Source organism: Homo sapiens, chromosome 15, assembly GCF_000001405.40.
Source record: "Homo sapiens chromosome 15, GRCh38.p14 Primary Assembly".
Taxonomy (NCBI): Eukaryota; Metazoa; Chordata; class Mammalia; order Primates; family Hominidae; genus Homo; species Homo sapiens.
This window is the reverse complement of record NC_000015.10, coordinates 77,266,918-77,289,061: the sequence shown is the minus strand read 5'-3', so window position 1 is coordinate 77,289,061 and position 22,144 is coordinate 77,266,918. Positions and strand designations below refer to the sequence as shown.

Sequence of the window (22,144 nt, the reverse complement as noted above, 5' to 3'; positions counted from 1 at the left end):
AGCTGTATTTGTTAATTTATATTTGCTGTTTACTGTTCCTCCAAACCTTGCAATACATGTCTTCTTAGCCTCCTATGAATGTTCATTTCCATCTCTGTTTTACTCATTCGAATACTTTTTTTTTTTTTTTTTTTGAGACGGAGTCTTGCTTTGTGCCCATGCTGGAGTGCAGTGGCACTATCTCGGCTCACTGCAAGCTCCGCCTCCTGGTTTCACGCCATTCTCCTGCCTCAGTCTCCCGAGTAGCTGGGACTACAGGTGCCCGCCACCACACCCGGCTAATTTTTGTCTTTTTAGTAGAGATGAGGTTTCACCATGGTCTTGATCTCCTGACTTCGTGATCCGCCTGCCTCGGCCTCCCAAAGTGCTGGGATTACAGGCATGAGCCACCACGCCCAGCCTCATTGAAATACTTTTATTTCTTCTCTTCAACAATCTGAACAATTACTCCTTGGATCCACCAGGTTAAGACCTTTTCTCCAAAAAGACTTACTAAAATCCATTTAGTTTCCCTTCTCACTGGTTTTATGTATATAAATTGTATGCTGCTTTGTCATTAGTTTGTGTAGTTTCATTAATATTCAGTTAAATATCTCCTGAGTGCTTGTTGCAATGATATGTGAGCTTGGTGGTGTAGAGAAGTATGCTGTGGTCAGGGTTTCCAGAGAAAGTGATCTTGTACCTGAATAAGTAAGAATTTCCTATGTGTGGAAGGTAGGTAAAGATATACTGGCAAAGAGAACAGCATGAGAATATATGGGATTGACAAATAGTTCAGTATGTCAGTGGTGCAATAAAGTGGGAGATAGGAAATAAAGTTGAAGAGATAGGTATGAGCCTGGTCATTGAGGACTTTATATGTCATACTTGGACATTTATTCTTTGAATAAAGGACTTTATTCTGTTAGTGCTGGGTTGCTTTGAAGAGTTTGGCATAATGAGGGTTTGATATAGTGCTTGATGTGGCAAAATTTTTATTTTAAACCAATCATGTTGGCAGAAGTATGTAAATAAATTTGAGGTAGGATAAAATTAGAGATGGGGAGATGAGTTAGGTTACTGATTTGGTCATATTGAGAGATAACTTGGATTTAGATACTATTAATAGGGATGGAATTCAGGAAATAGACTTGGAAAGTGTTTAAAGTAGAAATCAATAAGAATTGAAGATGACTGGTGAAGTGTGAGATGATTGCCCAACTTTTAGCTTGAGAAGTTAAGGGGCTGTTGTTCTGCTGTGACAGGGACTTTAAAAAGGAACAGATTTTAGGAAAAGATGAACAGCTCGGTTTGGGATATATTGAGTTTTTGCCTATAGTACCTTCAGTTAGAAACATCCAACAAACAACTGGATGTAGGAGTCTGAGGCTCAGGTGAAAGGTTAGGATTCAGGGTTTTCATTTGAGTTCCTCCCAGTCCTGGAGGAATACAGAAAATGTGAGTAGAGTGTGAAGTGGGCAAAACACTGAACCCTAGGAGGAAAGGGAAAAAGAGGAACCCAAAAAGGAAACTGGGAAGGAAGAAGTTCTATGTCTTTGCCTAATTACTATTAAAAGGAGGACAACTTTATCCTTTTTGAATCACAATTTAAGCATTCTTGAATAGTAGGATATTATATAATGTTATGTAGTAGATAATAAACGTTTAAGTTTGCCACTTATTTGGTCAGCTGGAAAACATTTCATTTACTTGGAAATTGCGTTTTTATATTTTATCCATTTTCATTACTTGACAAATATTTTTTAATTCGTATCATTTCATGAGCTGCTATGTGCTAGGCACCATGAAGTCTCCTATTCTGGTTTTGTTTTAAGAATTACTCTGACCCGAAGGCACTGATTTACTGTAAATTTTGCATGGTCAGTCTTATGTGGATTAATATGGTAGTTGAACATCCTTCTCTTCCTGAGTACAGTGTGGCCCTTTTAATCTTTTTCATCTCTCTGGGTCACTATTTCTTCATTTTCTTAAGTCTGTTCATTTTTAGAAACTCAAGAACAGAGTCTGCCAACAGGTTTTAGAGATCTACAGGGTACATGACTGGGTTTCATGACTCAACTAAAATTATATGCAAGATATGATGCATATGTACACATTTTTATGAAGATGCAATTTATAGCTTCTTTTGGATTATCAAAGTTTTATATAACTCACCACTCACCTTCCACCCAAAAGGTTAAGAACTGTAGGAACCAGAAGTATTTTTGTGTAATGTATTATAATAAACTACACTGTTTCATGCAACCCCTGAATAGTGAAGTTATCTTTAGCAGAGGTACTGCTATTCTTTGAAAGTAATTTTTTGAAGTAAGGAACAAATTTATTTTAATGCACTATAATATATGTTTACTTTTTGGCTACTTAAGCCTATAATGTTTCTGTTGTATTAACCAATTAAAACACCTCTTAGTGATTTTATAGCTTAAAAATAAGTTCATCAAATAGAATAAGTAAGAGTTTGATTCTGCTTTATGGTGAATTAAAGAATGCTCAGTTTTAAAGAGTGATTCAAATGCCCTTTATTAATATATCTTCCCCACTTTGCATCTTCTAATAGGAAAAGAATACTTGAGATCCATTTGTAAGGAAAGAAAAGGAAGCAACAACATAATGCCCAGAGTTGGAGCCAATTAAACCAGGTTTGTACTTTTTCTTTCCATAATGTAACATGTTTATTCTGGTCTTAAATCTCTTTTATTAATCTCCTGTCTTATTTCAGCAAAAATCTAATAATTTTAAACCTTGCCATAGTAGTATGGAGGAGATAAAGGTGAATAAGACATGCTCTTTTCAAACTATTTGCAACTAATGCAAAAGAACAGAAATCATAACAGTCTCTGAGACCACAGTGCAATCAAATTAGAACTCAGGATTAAGAAACTCACTCAAAACCGCACAACCAAATGGAAACTGAACAGCCTGCTCCTGAATGACTACTGGGTAAATAACGAAATGAAGGCAGAAATAAAGATGTTCTTTGAAACCAAATGGTCTTTGAGAACAAAGATACAACATACCAGAATCTCTGGGACACATTTAAAGCAGTGTATAGAGGGAAATTTATAGCACTAGATGCCCACAAGAGAAAGCAGGAAAGATCTAAAATCAACACTCTAACATCGAAATTAAAAGAACTAGAGAAGCAATAACAAACAAATTCAAAAGCTAGCAGAAGACAAGAAATAACTAAGATCAGAGCAGAACTGAAGGAGGCAGAGACACGAAAAACCCTTCAAAAAATCAATGAATGCAGGAGCTGTTTTTTTGAAAAGATCAGCAAAATAGACCGCTAGCCAGACTAATGAAGAAAAGAGAGAAGAATCAAATAGATGCAATAAAAAAAAATGACATAGGGGATATCAAATGATTAGCAACTTAACTATGAATATGAAAGACAAAATTATAAACAGCTAGATAGCAATCTCATTTTAACATGGAAAGTTTTGTGAGGTTTGGTAAATTGCTTGAGGTCAGAAGCTCTTAAAGAGTTAAGTTGGGATTCAGACTCATATCTGCTGACTCCAAACCGTATTTGCCTTCCATTATGTCACAATGTTCCCTATTTTATTTAGGTTTAGTTGTTGTGCAACTGCTGATTATTGAAGTAGAGGGTGGAGGACATATGTATTTCATATAAGGAATTTACTTTCATTTAAGGAATTTATTTCATTTACTTTCTGATGAAGTAAAAAGGGGGAGAGTATTCTCTATTCCTCAAAAGTTTGGAAGATTAGAGATGGGAACTAACGTTTATAAGCACTTACTATGTGCTAGACACTATCGTAAGGACTTAACGTGAACTAACTTATTTAATTCACGACAGCCAGGTGACATACTAATCTTTAAAACAAAGAAATAAGCAAATTGTCCGAGATCACATAGCTAGTAAGTACCAAAAGCAGATTCAAAACCGTGTATTGGGAAAGGTTAGATAGGGTTTGTAAACCCATGTCTATTGACTTACTTTTTTTTTTTTTTTTGAGACGAGTCTCACTCTGTCGCCCAGGCTGGAGTGCGGTGGCGTGATCTTGGCTCACTGCAACCTCTGCCTTCCGGGTTCGAGTAATTCTCCTGCCTCAGCCTCCCAAGCAGCTGGGTCTACAGGTGCGTGCCACCACACCTGGCTAATTGTGTGTGTGTGTGTGTGTGTGTGTGTGTGTGTGTGTGTGTTTTAGTAGAGAAGATGGGGTTTCACCGTGTTAGCCAGGATGGTCTTGATCTCCTGACCTTGTAATCCGCCCACCTCGGCCTCCCAAAGTACTGGGATTACAGACTTGAGCCACCACACCCAGCTGACTTAAAATTTAATATTACACAAACCAAACAAATAGCTGGACAATTTAGTCTGAGCTCCTTTTGCTATTAGTGTCATTTGTAAGCATTCTTAATTCAACTATTAGCAGTTAAATCGCCTCACCAAAATAATATTTCCATCTTAACAAGCTTTTCATTGTAACCAGTTTGAAAAAGTAATTTAGGTTACATGATCCTATGGTGAAGAGAGATTTTAAATTCACAGAATAGTGAACAGCAACATATGATAGAAAGGACTTTGAGGTGGGGCTCAGATCTGGGTTCTTTCAATTCCCAGCTTTCCTACTGACTCATGTGCTCTACAAGTATCTTAACCTGTTTTCATACATTTTGTAAGGTGAGAAGATTGACTTCATTGTTCCATAAGTCCCTTACAGTAATACAGTTATCCTATCAGTAGATTTTTAAAATGTGCTTCACATGTGAATAGCTAAGAATTTTTGGTTGCGAGATAAGTCTTTAGAGATCACTTCATTGAATCCTGCCATGTGAAGATGGTGAGACTGAGACCTTCGCATTTGTATGGCACTGTAAACATTTCAAAGCTCTTTGCTCTTTACATACATTAATCTCATGTGAGCCTCATCACCATACTCTTGTGGGTTAAATATCATTCTCTTCATTGTTTACATGACCAGATTGAATTGGTCATATAGCTGGGCTAGACTAAGTGACTCTGTGACTCTCAACCAAGTTTATCATGTTTTCTTGCTTTAGTGAGACTAATTACATCCTTCAATGAAGTACCATTTTGTGAGAAAGTGAGAATTCAATGATTTATGAAAAAATCCAAGAAGGAGAAACAAACATTTTCTAATATGAAAGTAGTAATGACTACAGCTATATAAATAACAGTAACAAAGAGGTAAGGAAGTGGCAAGTAATAAGGTCTATGAGTTGATTTAATTTTGGTTTTCATTTATTCCTGGATTAAGAATAAGCATAATTGACTTTTAATATCCTTGTGTTTATCAACCACATACGTTATCCTGACTAATGCAAAGAGAAATCATACTTTATAATAAAGTATTCATAAATTGTAGGTGAGCTAAGGAAAATTTCAGTTAATTTAAAAGGATACTTTGAAAATGAATAAATAAGCATGGGAAGCTAAGCTGTACGTAAAATTAATTATTTCATTGCCTTTATTGAAGTGGGTTTTCTTTTTTATTTCCACTTTGTAGTTGTAGAGCTACAACTGTGTAACTTTTTAGTATTTTTTTAATTGGAAAGAAAATAATTTTAAAACTAGTATGTGGGTATGAGCAGTTTTTCTTGTACAATTTTTTTTTCTAAATTGTCTTTCCTTTAAAAGAAACTGACTTTCTAGACCACATGGTATGATGGTGCTTTCTCTGCAGATATGAAAATTTGATCATTAATACAATCTCCAGTTGTTCTATATTAAAAAGTGTTTTTTAAGATGATTAACTGCATGTTTTCTGTAGAACTAATAAAAGAAAGGAGGATCTCCCAGATGGTTCTAATCAAATAAGGAAAACAGCAAAGGATGGAGTTGATATACAACAAAATTTGAAAGCAACATTTTGAGATTTGACTTATTTTAGAGAAGAAAAATGTATTATGTCCTTTCTGAAGTCTGTTTTTCTTAAGAGTCCATTATAAGATTCTCTTGCCCAGCTGCTGATGTTCTTTCCTGATGCCCTGCCCTACAGAGCTCCACCTCTTATTGCGTACCCATTTTCATGCCATCACAGATCCATGGAATTCAAAATGATATTTGATACAGACTTGAATAGAGCTAGTTTTTAATTCTCAGCTCTATGTATGACTTCAAAACATATGCAAAGGTTTTTTTTACAGCCACTTTTTAATGGTGCCTTAAAGGAAAAGATGAAGAGGACCCTTCATAGTAATTAATTTTTTGGTTTTTGTTTTGAGATAACTCAGGAGCTAGTTTCCTGGAAACTTCAAACTCCTAACACAGTTTCATTAAATTTTACCTATTATAATATGATTGTGTCTTGCTAACCCAGACTGTAGTCATTTTAAGGACTACTGTTAGTTTCTCATTGGCCCATTGTGATTTAGTGTTCATAAAAAAGTTATGACATTTAACTGAGGGTTTGGAATTTTTCAAGATGACTGGGCTTTTTCCTGTGATTTGTGAGTTTCTCTTGTTTGGCTTTAGGCTTAAAGAATTCCTGATCTAGAGTCAACTGCAAGCAAGCCAGGCTTCCAGGCTGGTGTCCCATTCTTATTAAAGCATTCCCTTTGTACACGTGGATGGCCTTGTGATTCAGAAGGCATGGTTTTAATACACAAAGCCTTTTAACTTTTTAAACTATTTCAATAAAGAAATTGCTGAAACAGTAAATTTTTTTTAATGAGTCATGTTGACAAATTCGTTAGCATTAAATTAAGTGTTTTTCCTAGCCATTGATTATTTAGTTTTAATGTAGATTTATTTCTATGTAGTCTGCTTTCTGTGCCAGGATATTTTCTAAAAATGAGATAAGTTCTTAGATGTATGGAAATTCGAGGAACTCTTTGATGTCATATTCAGTAAACCTCAGGATGGCAATAAGGGAAATATGGAGCTGTTGATTTGTGTGTATATGTATGTATGTGTATATTTGGGTGTGTGATCTAAACACACAGGAAATAAATTTGATTTATAGCTTCCTTCTTGACCAAGTTATTTTAAAGTTTAACATGGTGATAGAATTATATGGAAATATTGATTGGTTTTTTCTTTTGTAAGTGTATTGCTGCTTAGCAATTAAATGATTAGATATAGCTCAGGGCTTCGTTTTATTTCTTCATGCTGTATTTGAAAGAATTAAATGGGTTGATTCAGAGTTTTAAAAAATAGAAGTATAGGTAATAAAGGAGAATTACAGAATCTGTTGGCCTGCATTTGTAAGATCAGTCCACTTTGAGTTGCCCAGTTATTTGAATTTATCGGAGAAAAATAGTACCAAGTAAGTATAAATATTCAAGTAGTTATTGAATATTTCATTAGCTTATGTATGCCACGTTTATTTTTCTTAATTCTCAATGTGAGAAATTTGGATGATTTTCATAAATATTCAAAAATTATTCTCCTGTACAAAATTGAGAGTATTGTTGAAAGAGATAATAATTTGCTCTTGGGTCTTTTTATTTCTTTTATGAAAACCCATCTCCAAAAAAATTTAAATGAAAAGTTGCTAATTGCAATGAGGGTTTTCTAGGAAGTTATTAAATTTGATTCTTAAATTGTATGAACTTCCTCAATAGCTTTGCTTATTCTTATATATAAACAGAACATTTTAATATAAGATTTGGTAGTATAATACATTGCTAGTCTGCAGCTCTTCTATAGGAGAAATGAAGATCTTTGCAAAAGATTTGGGGACTCCAGATTTTCTATGTAGGGTTAAAAAAATTTTTTTGATTATATTGAATGAATTCAGTAACAATGGCTTACTTTCTTTTCTCCAGCAATATGAATACCATGTCTTATAAAAATTAATAACAATAGGCATCATTTGGCTGGCAGAAATGGCAGTTCACATACTTTTTTACAGCAAATATAGACATGGTCTGATATAATAAAGGAAATAGACTTTTTTTTTGAGATAGAGTCTTGCTCTGTTGCCCAGGCTGGAGTGCAATGGCGAATCTCGGCTCATTGCAGCCTTTGCTTCCTGGGTTCAAGCGATTCTCTGACCTCAGCCTCCTGGGATTACAGGTGAGTAGCTAGGATTACCGGTGTCACCCCACCTGGCTAATTTTTGTATTTTCAGTAGAGATGGGGTTTCACCATGTTGGCCAGGCTGGTCTCGAAACTCCTGACCTCAAGTGATCCACCTACCTCGGCCTCCCAAAGTGCTGGGATTACAGATGTGAGCCACCATGCCCAGCCAGGAAATAGAAATCTTGTACAGCTCTTATAGTCAGAAGCCTGATTATTCCAAAGATGAGAGTGCTATCTAATAATCATCTAAACAAAGCTACTAAGTAAGGTCAAATGTTTAGAGCTCATAAAAGATCACATAAAACCAATAAGAAGAATATTGCAAGCCAGCCCACACTGTCTGAAGGAAGTTTGTGGAGTCAACTTGAGTACATTAAAATATTTTGTGTTCCTTGTTAATTCTAAAATAATAAAAATTTAACAGAAACATGGAATAGGAATAGGTTTTAGAATAAGAAAAGGCTCAAAAAAAAAAAAAAAGGAAATCATTTGATTATCCCCTTACATTTTGCAAAGTGAAACTAAGGGTGTGAAGCTACATCCTCAAGTGTTATATAGGTGGTAACAGAACTAAGACTAGAATACACTTTATGTATCTATTAAATAATTGAAGATAGAATTTAAAAAGTTCTGATGGGAAATTATTTTATTTTGTTGTTAATTTTTAAGATTTACATACAGTAAAACTGACCTTTTTTTTGAGATGGAGTCTCACTCACTCTGTTGCCCAGGCTGGAGTGCAGTGGCATGATCTCAGCTCACTGCAGCCTCCGCCTCCCGTTTTCAAGCGATTCTTGTACCTCAGCCTCCTAAGTAGCTGGGATTATAGATGACTGCCTCCATGCCCAGCTAATTTTGTGTATTTACTAGAGACTGAGATTTCACCATGTTGGCCAGGCTGGCCTCGAACTCCTGACCTCAAGTGATCCTCCCACCTCAGCCTCCCAAAGTGCTAGGATTACAGGGATGAGCCACTATGCCCGGCCCAAAACTGACTTAACATAAGTTCTGTGAGCTTTAACACATGTTCGGATCCATACAACTACCACTACAAACAGGAAACAAACAGTCCCATCACCCTAGAAAACTTCTGGCTTTCCCTTTTTGGTCAAAATCTCTCCCTACATCTAACAATTACTGATCTGTACTTCATCACTATAGTTTTACCTGTTCCAGAATATTGTATAAATGGAATTTTTTTTCCTAGCTAAACTGTATCCAGCTTTATTAAAGATACCTTCCATAAATAATCATGGTATTTCAGGCAGGACATGGGCAGAAAATCATTAACAGCATACAACAACTTTCAAACTCCCTTCTTCAATGAACTACCAAAAATCAGAAAGCCACTATAAACCCAGTGAAGTCTTCATGTGATGCTCTGAACAGGGAAAGTTTAGAGTGAGGGTTGACATTTCACATTTAGAATGTTGTTTAACAACTTTTCACGAGCCGATCCTGACTCAGGAAGTGAAATGAAAATGACAGAATTTATCTGAAGATCCACAATCTGGAAATGGAACCACTGCTCCTTTGAGGGGCTCCATCTCAGTGGTATCACTGGAACATCCAGATTGTCTGACACACTGGTAACCAATTATTGGGGGTCAGATCCCAGCAGATGTCTGGGTTAAAGGGAGTTAAGTCTATGCTGAAAGGTGGAAAGGGAGAAAAGAACATAAAAACAAATTTGTTTTTCCATCCCACAGGCTTTTGTGCCAAGGAGGCCCTGTGTATCTAAGTCAGGGAATCCCTCCTCCTGAGATCCAAGAAGAAGTCTCTCAAAGCTAGAAGGGAAAGGTATTTTCCCCACATCAGTCCAGCTTTGGAGACATTCTATTAGTGACATATGCCCCTTCCCCCAAAAACAACAGTAAGTGTTCTGTGTGCTAACAGCATAGCTTTGAAACACACACACACACACACACACACACACACACGCACACACGAGCACCTTGGGAGGCTGAGGCAGCCGGTTCACTTGAGGTCAGTTCAAGACCAGCTTGACCAACATGGTGAAACCCCACCTCTACTAAAAATACAAAAATTAGCCAGTTGTGGTGGCGTGTGTCTAATCCCAGCTACTCGGGAGGCTGAGGCTAGAGAATGGCTTGAACCCAGGAGGCGGAGGTTGCAGTGAGCAGAGATGATGCCATTGCACTCCAGCCTGGGCGATAGAGTGAGACTCTGTCTCAAAAAAAAAAAAAAAAAACCCACAAAATTTTGCATTTTTATAAAACTTGATAAAAATAGTATTTCAAACTGTATAGTCACCAGAAGTACACAGTTATCAAAAATGCACGTGCTTCACTTGGCATCTCCAGCACCCTCACCTTTCTGTGTCTGGTCTGTTTTGGCATCTCCATTTTCTGCAGGCTTATTCCCCTCCTTGCCAGTGTCAGCTTTTCCCATTTCTCCTTTGAGTACCTTCTCTCCGTTCTTTGCAGGGACCTTTTTAGGCTTGGTCTCTGGCTTTGGAGGAGCAGGTTTAGTAGACAACCTTGCAGATCTTCTCTGTGGTTTGTCCCTCACTTTGGCTTTATCTCCTTTAGCATCCCCTTCAGCCTTTCTCTTGGGCATGGTGCTGGCGATGTGGTAGGACATAGGTGCGTTATGTGGGCTTTGGTCAGTCTGGGGGTCGTTCTCCCTGCTTCTTCTTTACACTGCTCCTATAAATTGAATTATTATGTACTCTTTTGAATCTAGCTTCTTTCTCTCAGCTTAATTTTTTGAAATTCATATGTTGTGTGTATTAGTAGTTCATTCTTTTAATTGCTGAGTAGTGTTCCATTGTATGACTATATCACAATGTACTTAATCACCTGTTCATGAACATTTCGTTTCCAGTGTTTCTTCAAAAGACTTCATTTTTTTAGAGCAATTTTAGGTTCAACATCAAAACTGAGAAAAAGATACAGAGATATCCCACATACCCTCGTGCCCACGAGCGTATAGCATTCCCTATTATCAACATCCCCACCAGAATGGTACATTTGCTACAATTGATGAACCTTCATTGAGACATCATAATCACCCCAAGCCCATAGTTTACATTAGGGTTCACTCTTGGTGTTGTACATTCTATGGGTTTGGATAAATGCATAATGACAGCTGTCCACCATTCTAGTATCATATAGAGTATTTTCACTGCCCTAAAAATCCTGTGCATTCTGCCTATTCATCCCTTTTCCTTCTCCAGCCCCTGGCAACCCACTGAACCTTTTACTCTCTCCATGGTTTTAACTTTTTCAGAATGTCATATAGTTGGAATCATACACTATGCTGCCTTTTCAGATTGGTTTCTTAATTCCAGTTTTTATCTGTTATGAATAAAGTTGCTATAATTTTTTTCTATTAGAACAAAAATATTTACTTACAGGTATGGTGATCCTATTAGTGAGCTCTTAAATAATTCACAGAATTAATTCACTTTTTAAACTTTTTATTTTGAAATAATTATAAATTCACATGAATTTGAAAACATAGTACAGAGAAGTACCATATTTACTGTACCATTCACCGAGTTTCCCCTATTAGTTCCATCTTATGTAACTATAGAACAATATTAAAACCAGTACATTGACATTGGTGTAAAGTGAGTAGTATATCGTTCTTTGGTATTTTATCACATGTGTAGATTCATGTAACCAACACTGCAACCAAGATACAGAATTCCTTAACCCAATGATATCCCTGTGCTGCCTCTTTATAGTCACACACACACCCACTCCCTTTCACCATCCCTCACCCTTGGTAACCATCTCTATAATTTTGTCATTTTGAGAATGTTATATAAATGGAATCATGTAGTATAAAATCTTTGAGATTGGCTTTTTTTACTCAGCATAATGCCCTTGAGATCCATCTAAGTTGAGATGTCAAGAATCATTCCTATTTATTGCTGATATAGTTAGTTTTCCATGGTATGGATGTGTCACAGTTTGTTTGTTTTTCTGGCTTTCCTGCAGGTTACTTGAATACCTTTTAGAATTCAGTGTTTTAAAGTATATCTCTTTATATGGCCTTTTTGTCCTCACTCTAGATACTACATTTTGTATGTAACAAGTCATAGTCGGCTGTACTACAGTGCTACTTGGTGATGCTACATTTTATCACTTCCAGTAAAGTATAGAAACTTTTGCTCCCTTTAGTCCCCCCCATTTAATTATCTTAACATTTTTATATGTTTCTAATATATGTATATGTGTATATTACATGCATGTTTATATATATTTTTATGTGTATTAATGGTTTTATTTTCTTTACATACATTTTGAACCATATCATACAGCATTATAATTTTTGCTTCAACAGTCAAACATAATTTGGAGAACTCAAGTGGAATAGGAATCTGTTGTGTTTATACATATTTTTCCTCCTCCTGTCATCCTGCCTTCCTCATTATCCACGATTCCTGGATTATCCGAGATCTTTTTTCATTTCCTTTCTGTTTAGAGAATTTTCTTTATTCTTTTAGAGCAGATCTGCTAGTGAGAAATTCTCCTTTCTCTATAAATATTTTTATTTTTTTCTTCATTTCTGCAGGATATTTTTGCTGGTTAAAGAACTCTGAGTTAACAAGCCTTTTCTCCTAGCACCTGAAAGATATCGTGCCAGTTCCTTCTGGCTTCCGTGGTTTTTAATGAGAAATTTACTGTCATTAAACTGTTTTTCCCCTCTAGGGAAAATGTTGTTTTTCTGTTGCTGCTTTCAAGATTTTTTCTGTGTCTTCAGTTTTCAGAAGTTTGACTTTGATGTGTTTTGGCCTGGATTGATTTGGGGTTTACACTGTTTGGGGTTTACTTGTCTTCTTGAATCTGTAGGTTTTGTCTTTTGAGAACTTTTCAGTTCATATTTTTTCAAATTATTTTTCTGTCCTTTTTCTCCTTTCCTTTTGAGACTCTGATGACATGAATATTCATCTTTTATTATAGTTTCACGAGTCACCAAAGTTCTGTTTGTTTTTTTAGTTTGTTTTCTTCCTATTGTTCAGACTGGCAAATTTCTATTGTTTTATTTTTAGTACATTGATTCCTTCTTCTGTCACATCCATTCTGCTATTGAACCCATCCACTGACATTGATTTCAGTTATCGTAATTTTGGTTTTGTAATTTCATTATTTACATTCTGTATTTCTTTGCTGAGACTTTCTTTACTCAGGCTTTCTGTTTTTTTCATTTGTTTCCAACGTGTTGGTAATTGCCTGTTGAAGCATTTTAATGGTGGCTGCCTTAAAATCCTTGTGAGATAATTCTTTTTCTTTCTTTAAAAAAATACATTTACTTCTTTTTTCCTTTTTTTAAATTTTTTTATTTTATTTATTTATTTATTTTTTTGAGACAGAGTCTCACTGTGTCGCCCAGGCTGCACTGCAATCTCAGCTGACTGCAACCTCCGTCTCCCGGGTTCAAGCAATTCTCCTGCCTCAGCCTCCTGAGTAGCTGGGATTACAGGCACGCACCATCACACCCATCTAATTTTTGTATTTTTAGTAGAGATGGGATTTCACCGTGTTAGCCAGGATGGTCTCAATCTCCTGACCTCATGATCCACCCGCCTCGGCCTCCCAAAGTGCTGGGATTATAGGCATGAGCCACCATGCCCAGCCTCATTTGTTTCTTAAAATCTGTGTATAAGTGGACCCACTTGATTTAACCCATGTTGTTTAAGGATTGACTGTACGTTACCAAGATGTACATATTTATTTTATTTTTGGAATTTTGTCTTATTTCAATAGGTTTTGGGGGAACAGGTGGTGTTTGGTTACATGAATAAGTTCTTTAGTGGTGATTTATGAGATTTTGGTGCACCTATCACCCTAGAAGTACACGCTGTACCCAATGTGTAGTCTTTTATCCCTCACCTCCCTCTTATCATTCCTCCAAGTCCTCAAAGTTCGTTGTATCATTCTTATGTCTTTGCATCCTCATAGCTTAGCTTCCACTTATGAGTGAGAACATACTATGTTTGGTTTTCCATTCCTGAGTTACTTCACTTGGAATAATGGTCTCCAGTTCCATCTAGGTTGCTGCAAATGCCATTATTTTATTCCTTTTTATTGCTGAGTAGTATTCCATGGTATATATACGCCACATTTTCTCTATCCACTTATTGATTGATGGATATTTGGGCTGGTTCCATATTTTTGCAATTTTGAATTGTGCTGCTATAAACATGCATGTGCAAGTATCTTTTTTGTATAATGACCTTTTTTTTCCTCTGAATAGATATCCAGGAGTGGGATTGTTGGATCAAATGGTAAATCTGCTTTTAGTTCTTTAAGGAATCTCCATACTGTTTTCCATAGTGGTGTACTAGTTTATATTCCCACCAGCAGTGTAAAAGTGTTCCTTTTTTCATGACATCCACACCAACATCTATGTTTTTTTATTTTTTGATTATGAGTTTTTTTATTTTTGGTTTTTTAATTTTTGATTATGATTTATTTTATTTTATGGTTATTGTTGCAGGAGTAAGGTAGTATCTCATTGTGGTTTTGATTTGCATTTCCCTGATCATTAGTGATGTTGAGCACTGTTTCATATGTTTTTTGGCCATTTGTATATCTTCTTTTGAAAATTGTCTATTCATGTCTTTAGCCCACTTGATGGGATTTTTTTTTTCTTGCTAATTTGGTTCCTTGTAGATTCTGGATATTAGTCCTTTGTCGGATAGATTGCAAAGATTTTCTCCCACTCTGTGGGTTGTCTGGTTTCTCTGCTGATTGTTTCTTTTGCTGTGCAGAAGCTTTTTCGTTTAATTAAGTTCCATCTATTTATCTTTGTTTTTGTTGCGTTTGCTTTCGGGTTCTGGTCATGAAGTCTTTGCGTAAGCCAGTGTCTAGAAGGCTTTTCCCAATGTTATCTTCTAGAATTTTTATGGTTTCATGTCTCAGATGTAAATCTTTGGTCCATTTCGAGTGGATTTTTGTATAAGGTGAGAGATGAGGATCCAGTTTCATTCTTCTACATGTGGCTTGCCAATTATCCCAGCACCATTTGTTGAATAGTTTCCTTTTCCTACTTTATGTTTTTGTTGCTTTGTCAAAGATCAGTTGACTGTAAGTATTTCTCTTTATTTCTGGGTTCTCTATTCTGTTCCATTGGTCTCTATGCCTGTTTCTATTCCAGTACAATGCTGTTTTGGTGACTATGGCCTTATAGTATCGTTTGAAGTTGGGTAATGTGATGCCTCCAAATTTGTTCTTTTTGCTTAGTCTTGCTTTGGCTACGTGGGCTCTTTTTTGGTTCCATGTGAATTTTAGGATTTTTTTTCTAGTTCTGTGAAGAATGGTGGTGGTATTTTCATGGGAATTGCATTGAATTTGTTGATTGCTTTTGGCAGTATGGTCATTATCACAATATTGATTCTACCCATCCATGAAAATGGGATGTGTTTCTATTTGTTTTGTCATCTATAATTTCTTTCAGCAGTGTTTTGTAGTTTTCCTTGCAGAGGTCTTTCACTTTCACCTCTTGGTTAAGTATATTCCTAAGTTCTTTGTTTTTGTTTTTGTTTTTAACAGCTGTTATAAAAGGGGTTGAGTTCTTGATTTGATTCTCAGCTTGGTTGTTGTTGATGTGTAGCAGGGCTACTGATTTGTATACATTAATTTTGTATCCTGAAACTTTGCTGAATTCATTTACTAGTTCAGGAGCTTTTTGGATGAGTCTTTAGGGTTTTCTAGGTATATGATTATGTCATCAGCAAACAGTGACAGTTTGACTTCCTCTTTGCCAGTTTGGCTGCCCTTTATTTCTTTCTCTTGTCTAATTTTTCTGGCTAGGACTTCCAGTACTATGTTGAATAGAAGTGGTGAAAGTGGACATCCTTGTCCTGTTCCAGTTTTCAGGGGGAATACTTTCAACTTTTCCCCATTCAGTATAGTGTTAGCTGTGGGCTTGTCATAGATGGCTTTTATTACCTTAAGGTATGTTCCTTCTTTACGAATTTTGCTGAGGGTTTTAATCATACATAAAGGGATGCTGGATTTTGTCAAACGCTTTTTGTGCAATCTATTGAGATGATCATGTGATTTTTGTTTTTAATTCTTTTTCTGTGGTGTATCACATTTATTGACTTGCAGATGTTAAACCATCCCTGCATCCCTGTTATGAAACCCACTTGATCATGGTGGATTATCTTTTTTATCTCTGTTGGATTCGTTTAGCTAGTATTTTGTTAAGGATTTTTGCATCTATGTTCATCAGGGATATTGGTTTGTAGTTTTCTTTTTTTGGTTATGTCCTTTTCTGGTTTTGGTATTAGGGTGATACCGGCTTCATAGAATGATTTCGGGAGGATTCCTTCTTTCTGTATCTTCTGGAGTAGTGTCAATAGGACTGGTAACCAGTTCTTCTTTAAATGTCTGATAGAATTCAGCTGTGAATCCATCTAGTCCTGGACTTTTTTTGTTGGTAACTTTTAAATTACCATTTCATGCTTGTTGCTTGTTATTGGTCTGTTCAGAGTTTCTGTTTCTTCCTGGTTTAATCTAGGAGGGTTGTATATTCCCAGGAATTTATCCATCTCCTCTAGTTTTCTAGTTCATGCGCATAGAGGTGTTCATAGTAGCCTTGAATGATATTTTGTATTTCTTTGGTATTGGCTGTTATATCTCCCATTTTGTTTCTAATTGAGCTTATTTGGATCTTCTCTCTTCTTTCTTGGTTAATCTCACTAATGGTCTATCAATTTTATTTATCTTTTCAAAGAACCAGCTTTTTGTTGTATTTATCTTTTGTATTTTTTTGTTTGTTTGAATTTCATTTAGTACTGCTCTGATCTTGGTTGCTTGTTTTCTTCTGTTGGGCTTGGGTTTGGTTTGTTCTTCTTTCTCTAGCTCCTTGAGGTGTGACCTTAGATTGTCTGTGCTCCTTCAGACTTAACAATGTAGGCATTTAATGCTATGAATTTCCTGTTAGCACTGCCTTTGCTTATCCCAGAGGTTTTTATAGGTTGTGTCACTATTATCGTTCAGTTCAAATAATCTGTTAATTTCCATCTTGATTTCATTTTTGACTCAGTGATCATTCAGGAACATGTTGTTTAATTTCCATATATTTGCATGGTTTTGAAGGTTCCTTTTGGAGTTGATTTCCTTTTTTTTTATTATTATACTTTAAGTTCTAGGGTACATGTGCACAACGTGCAGGTTTGTTACATATGTATACATGTGCCGTGTTGGTGTGCTGCACCCATTAACTCGTCATTTACATTAGGTATGTCTCCTAATGCTATCCCTCCCCGCTCCTCCCACCCCACAACAGGCCGCAGTGTGTGATGTTCTCCTTCCTGTGTCCAAGTGTTCTCACTGTTCAGTTGCCACCTATGAGTGAGAACATGCGGTGTTTGGTTTTTTGTCCTTGTGATAGTTTGCTGAGAATGATGGTTTCCAGCTTCATCCATGTCCCTACAAAGGACATGAACTCACCCTTTTTTTATGGCTGCATAGTATTCCATGGTGTATATGTGCCACATTTTCTTAATCCAGTCTATCATTGATGGACATTTGGGTTGGTACCAAGTCTTTGCTATTGTGAATAGTGCCACAATAAGCATACATATGCATGTGTCTTTATAGCAGCATGATTTATAATCCTTTGGGTATATACCCAGTAATGGATGGCTGGGTCAAACGGTATTTCTAATTCTAGATCCCTGAGGAATCGCCACACTGACTTCCACAATGGTTGAACTAGTTTACAGTCCCACCAACAGTGTAAAAGTGTTCCTATTTCTCCACATCCTCTCCAGCACCTGTTGTTTCCTGACTTTTTAATGATCGCCATTCTAACTGCTGTGAGATGGTATCTCATTGCGGTTTAGTTTTGCGTTTCTCTGATGGCCAGTGATGATGGGCATTTTTTCATGTGTCTTTTGGCTGCATAAATATCTTCTTTTGAGAAGTGTCTGTTCATGTCCTTCGCCCACTTTTTGATGGGGTTGTTTGTTTTTTTCTTGTAAATTTGTTTGAGTTCATTGTAGATTCTGGATACAGAATCTTTGTCAGATGAGTAGAATGCAAAAATTTTCTCCCATTCTGTAGGTTGCCTGTTCACTCTGATGGTAGTTTCTTTTGCCGTGCGGAAGCTCTTTAGTTTAATTAGATCCCATTTGTGAATTTTGGCTTTTGTTGCCATTGCTTTTGGTATTTTAGACATGAAGTCCTTGCCCATGCCTACATCCTGCTCAACGAAATAAAAGAGGACACAAACAAATGGAAGAACATTCCATGCTTGTGAATAGGAAGAATCAATATTGTGAAAATGGCCATACTGCCCAAGGTAATTTATAGATTCAGTGCCATCCCCATCAAGCTACCAATGACTTTCTTCACAGAATTGGAAAAAACTACTTTAAAGTTCATATGGAACCAAAAAAGAGCCCTCATTGCCAAGTCAATCCTAAGCCTATGAGCTTAGCCGTTGAGCAGTGGTTTGTAGTTCTCCTTGAAAAGGTCCTTTACATCCCTTGTAAGTTGGATTCCTAGGTATTTTATTCTCTTTGAAGCAATTGTGAATGGGAGTTCACTCATGATTTGGCTCTCTGTTTGTCTGTTATTGGTGTATAAGAATGCTTATGATTTTTGCACATTGATTTTGTGTCCTGAGACTTTGCTGAAGTTGCTATCAGCTTAAGGAGATTTTGGGCTGAGACGATGGGGTTTTCTAGATATACAATCATGTCATCTGCAAACAGGGACAATTTGACTTCCTCTTTTCCTAATTGAATACCCTTTATTTCCTTCTCCTGCCTGATTGCCCTGGCCAGAACTTCCAACACTGTGTTGAATAGGAGTGGTGAGAGAGGGCATCCCTGTCTTGTGCCAGTTTTCAAAGGGAATGCTTCCAGTTTGTGCCCATTCAGTATGATATTGGCTGTGGGTTTGTCATAAATAGCTCTTATTATTTTGAGATATGTCCCATCAATACCTAATTTATTCCAAAATTGACCACATAGTTGGAAGTAAAGCACTCCTCAAAAGAACAGAAATTATAACAAACTATCTCTCAGACCACAGTGCAATCAAACTAGAACTCAGGATTAAGAAACTCACTCAAAACCGCTCAACTACATGGAAACTGAACAGCCTGCTCCTGAATGACTACTGGGTACATAACAAAATGAAGGCAGAAATAAAGATGTTCTTTGAAACCAGTGAGAACAAAGGTACAACATACCAGAATCTCTGGGACACATTTAAAGCAGTGTGTAGATGGAGTTGATTTCCAATTTTATTCCACTGTGGTCTAATAGAGTGCTTTGTATAATTTCGATTTTCTTAAATTTGTTGAGAGTTTGTGGCCTGTCATATGGTCTGTCTTGGAGAATGTTCCATGTGTTGAATAGAATGTATATTCTGCAGTTGTTGGGTAGAATGTTATGTAAATGTCTATTAAGCCCATTGTTTCTTTGTTGACTTTTTGTCTTGATTACCTGTCTAGTGCTGTCAGTGAAGTATTGAAGTCCCCCACTATTATTTTGTTGTTGCCTATCTAATTTCTTAGGTCTAGTAGTAATTGTTTTATAAATTGGGAGCTCCAGTGTTAGGTGCATATGTATGTAGGATTGTGATACTTTCCTGTTGTATTAGACCTTTTATCATTATGTAGTATCTCTCTTTGTCGTTTTTAACAGCTGTTGATTTAAAGTTTGTTTTGTCTGATATAAGAATAGCTACTCCTGCTTGCTTCTGGTGCCCATTTGCATGGAGTATCTTTTTCCACCCTGTTACCTTAGCTTTATGTGAGTCCTATGTGTCAGGTGAGTCTCTTGAAGACAGCAGATACTTAGTTACTGAATTCTTATCCATTCTGCCATTCTCTGTCTTTTAAGTGGAGCATTTCGGCCCATTACTTTCAACATTAGTATTGAGATATGAGGTACTATTCTATTCATCGTTCTATATATTGCCTGAATACCTTTTTTTTTTTTCATTGTGTTGTTGTTTTATAGGTCCTGTGAGATTTATGCTTTAAGGATATTCGATTTGGGTGTATTTGGAGGATTTGTTTCAAGATTTAGAGCTCCTTTTAGCGGTGCTCGTAGTGCTGGCTTGGTAGTGGCGAATTCTTTCAGCATTTGTTTGTCTGAAAAATACCATATCTTTTCTTCATTTATGAAGCCTAGTTTTGTTGCATACAAAATTCTTGGCTGATAATTATTTTGTTTAAGGAGGCTAAAGATAGGATTGCAGTCCCTTCTAGCTTGTAGGGTTTCTGCTGCGAAATCTGTGTTAATCTGATAGGTTTTTCTTTATAGGTTACCTGATACTTTTGCCTCACAGCTGTTAAGATTCTTTCCTTCATCTTGATTTTAGATAACCTGATGACTATGTGCCTAGGTGGTGATGTTTTTGCGATGAATTTCCCAGGAGTTCTTTGAGCTTTTTGTATTTGGATGTCTAGATCCCTAGCAAGGCCAAGAAAGTTTTCCTCAATTATTCTCTCAAATATGTTTTCCAAACTTTTAGATTTCTCTTCTTCCCCAGAAACACCAATTATTCTTAAATTTGGTCATTTAACATAATCTCAAACTTCTTGGAAGCTTTGTTCTTTTTTTTTTTTTGAGATGGAATCTCGCTCTGTCATCCAGACTGAAATGCAGTGGTGTGATCTCAGCTCACTGCGTCCTCTGCCTCCCAGGTTCAAGTGATTCTCCTACCTCAGCCTTCTGCGTAGCTGGGATTACAGGCACACACCACCACACCCAGCTAATTTGTGTATTTTAGGAGAGATGGGGTTTCACCATCTTGGCCAGGCTGGTCTCAAACTCCTGACATCAAGTGATCTGCCCACCTCGGCCTCCCAAAGTGCTGGGCTTATAGGCGTGAGCCACTGTGTCTGGCTTGTTCATTTTTTAAAAATTCTTTTTTCTTCTTTGTCTTTATCAGATTGGGTTAATTCGAAAGCCTTGTCTGCAAACTTGATATTCTTTCTTCTACTTGTTCAGTTCTATTTCTGAGGCATTCCATTGCATTTTGCAATTCTCTAAGTGTGCCCTTCATTTCCAGAAGTTGTGATTAGTTTTTATTTATGCTATCTATTACACTGGAGATTTTTCCATTCATATCCTATATCATTTTTTTTTATTTCTTGGACTTCACCTTTCTCTGATGCCTCCTCTATTGGCTTAATAGTCGACTTTGTGAATTCTTTTTCTGGCAATTCAGAGATTTTTTTTCCTGGTTCGGATCCATTGCTGGTGAGTTAGTGTGATTTTTTGGGGGTGTTAAAGAACCTTGTTTTGTCTATTATCAGAATTGTTTTTCTGGTTCCTTCTTATTCGGGTATACTATATCAAAGGGAAGATCTGAGACTCAAAGGCTGCTGTTCAGATTCTTTTGTCCCACGGGTTGCTCCCTTCATGTGGTGCTCTTCCCTTTCCCATAGGGATGGGAATTTCTGAGAGCCAAACTGCAGTGATTGTTATTTCTGTTCTGGATCTAGCCACCCAGCAGAGCTGTTAGGCTCTGGGCTAGTACAGGGGAGTATCTGCAAAGAGTCTTATGATGTGATCTGTCTTCAGGTCTCTCAGCCATGGATACCAACACCTGCTCTGGTGGAGGTAGCAGGGGCATGAAGTGGATACTATGAGGGTTCCTGGTTGTATTTTTGTTACACAAGCTGGTTTTGTGTTGATTGGCCTTCAGATAGGAGGTGGTGCTTTCAAGAGCATAATAGCTGTGGTAGTATAGGGAGGATGAGGAGAAGGTTGGGACCATAGACCTCTCAAGAGGCTATATCCTTCGTCTTCAGCTACCAGCAGGACCATCAGATGTGGACAGGGTTAGGTGTGTCTGAGCTCAGACTCTCCTTGGGCAGGGATGTGGCTGCTGTAGGGGATGGGGGTGTGTTTCCCAGGCCAATGCAATTACGTTCCCAGGAAGATTATGTTCCCAGTTATGTTCCCAGGAAGATTATGGCTGCCTCTGCTGCATCACACAGGTTGCCAGGGAAGTGGAGAATGCCGGCAGCCAGAGTCCTCACACAGCTCCCATGCATCCCACTGCCCAAAAGGCTGGTCCCACTCCCACTGTGCCCCTGCCCCCACCCCCACCAACAACACAGAGCTGATTTCCAGGCAACCAGTGAGGAGGGCTGAGAACTTGCCCCAGGCTACAA

General features: G+C 37.1%; 1 protein-coding gene and 1 pseudogene across 34 annotated transcripts in view, besides 1 other annotated feature; one reads left to right on the top strand and one right to left on the bottom strand.

The window, feature by feature from the left end:
- Positions 1–22,144, top strand: part of PEAK1 (pseudopodium enriched atypical kinase 1) — a 320,261-nt gene that overhangs the window by 131,853 nt on the left and 166,264 nt on the right. For 16 of the 34 annotated variants that reach the window (XM_047433077.1, XM_047433076.1, XM_047433074.1 and 13 more), the window contains 3 exons: positions 2,558–2,639; positions 3,984–4,104; positions 5,032–5,179. The gene's annotated coding sequence lies outside the window, so the exon portion shown is untranslated. Of the gene's footprint in view, positions 1–2,557; positions 4,105–5,031; positions 5,180–9,726; positions 9,891–22,144 lie in introns of all 34 variants that reach the window. The other 18 variants (XM_047433057.1, XM_047433073.1, XM_047433072.1 and 15 more) reach the window with 5 other exon arrangements.
- Positions 6,249–6,847: an enhancer, noted in NCBI's record as "OCT4-NANOG hESC enhancer chr15:77574557-77575155 (GRCh37/hg19 assembly coordinates)". NCBI's record gives its function as "activates a minimal SCP1, AML or CMV promoter by ChIP-STARR-seq in naive H9 embryonic stem cells {active_cell/tissue: H9 hESC(naive)}" and the evidence as "EXISTENCE:reporter gene assay evidence [ECO:0000049][PMID:30033119]".
- LOC646853 (non-histone chromosomal protein HMG-17 pseudogene) lies at positions 9,218–10,686 on the bottom strand (annotated as a pseudogene).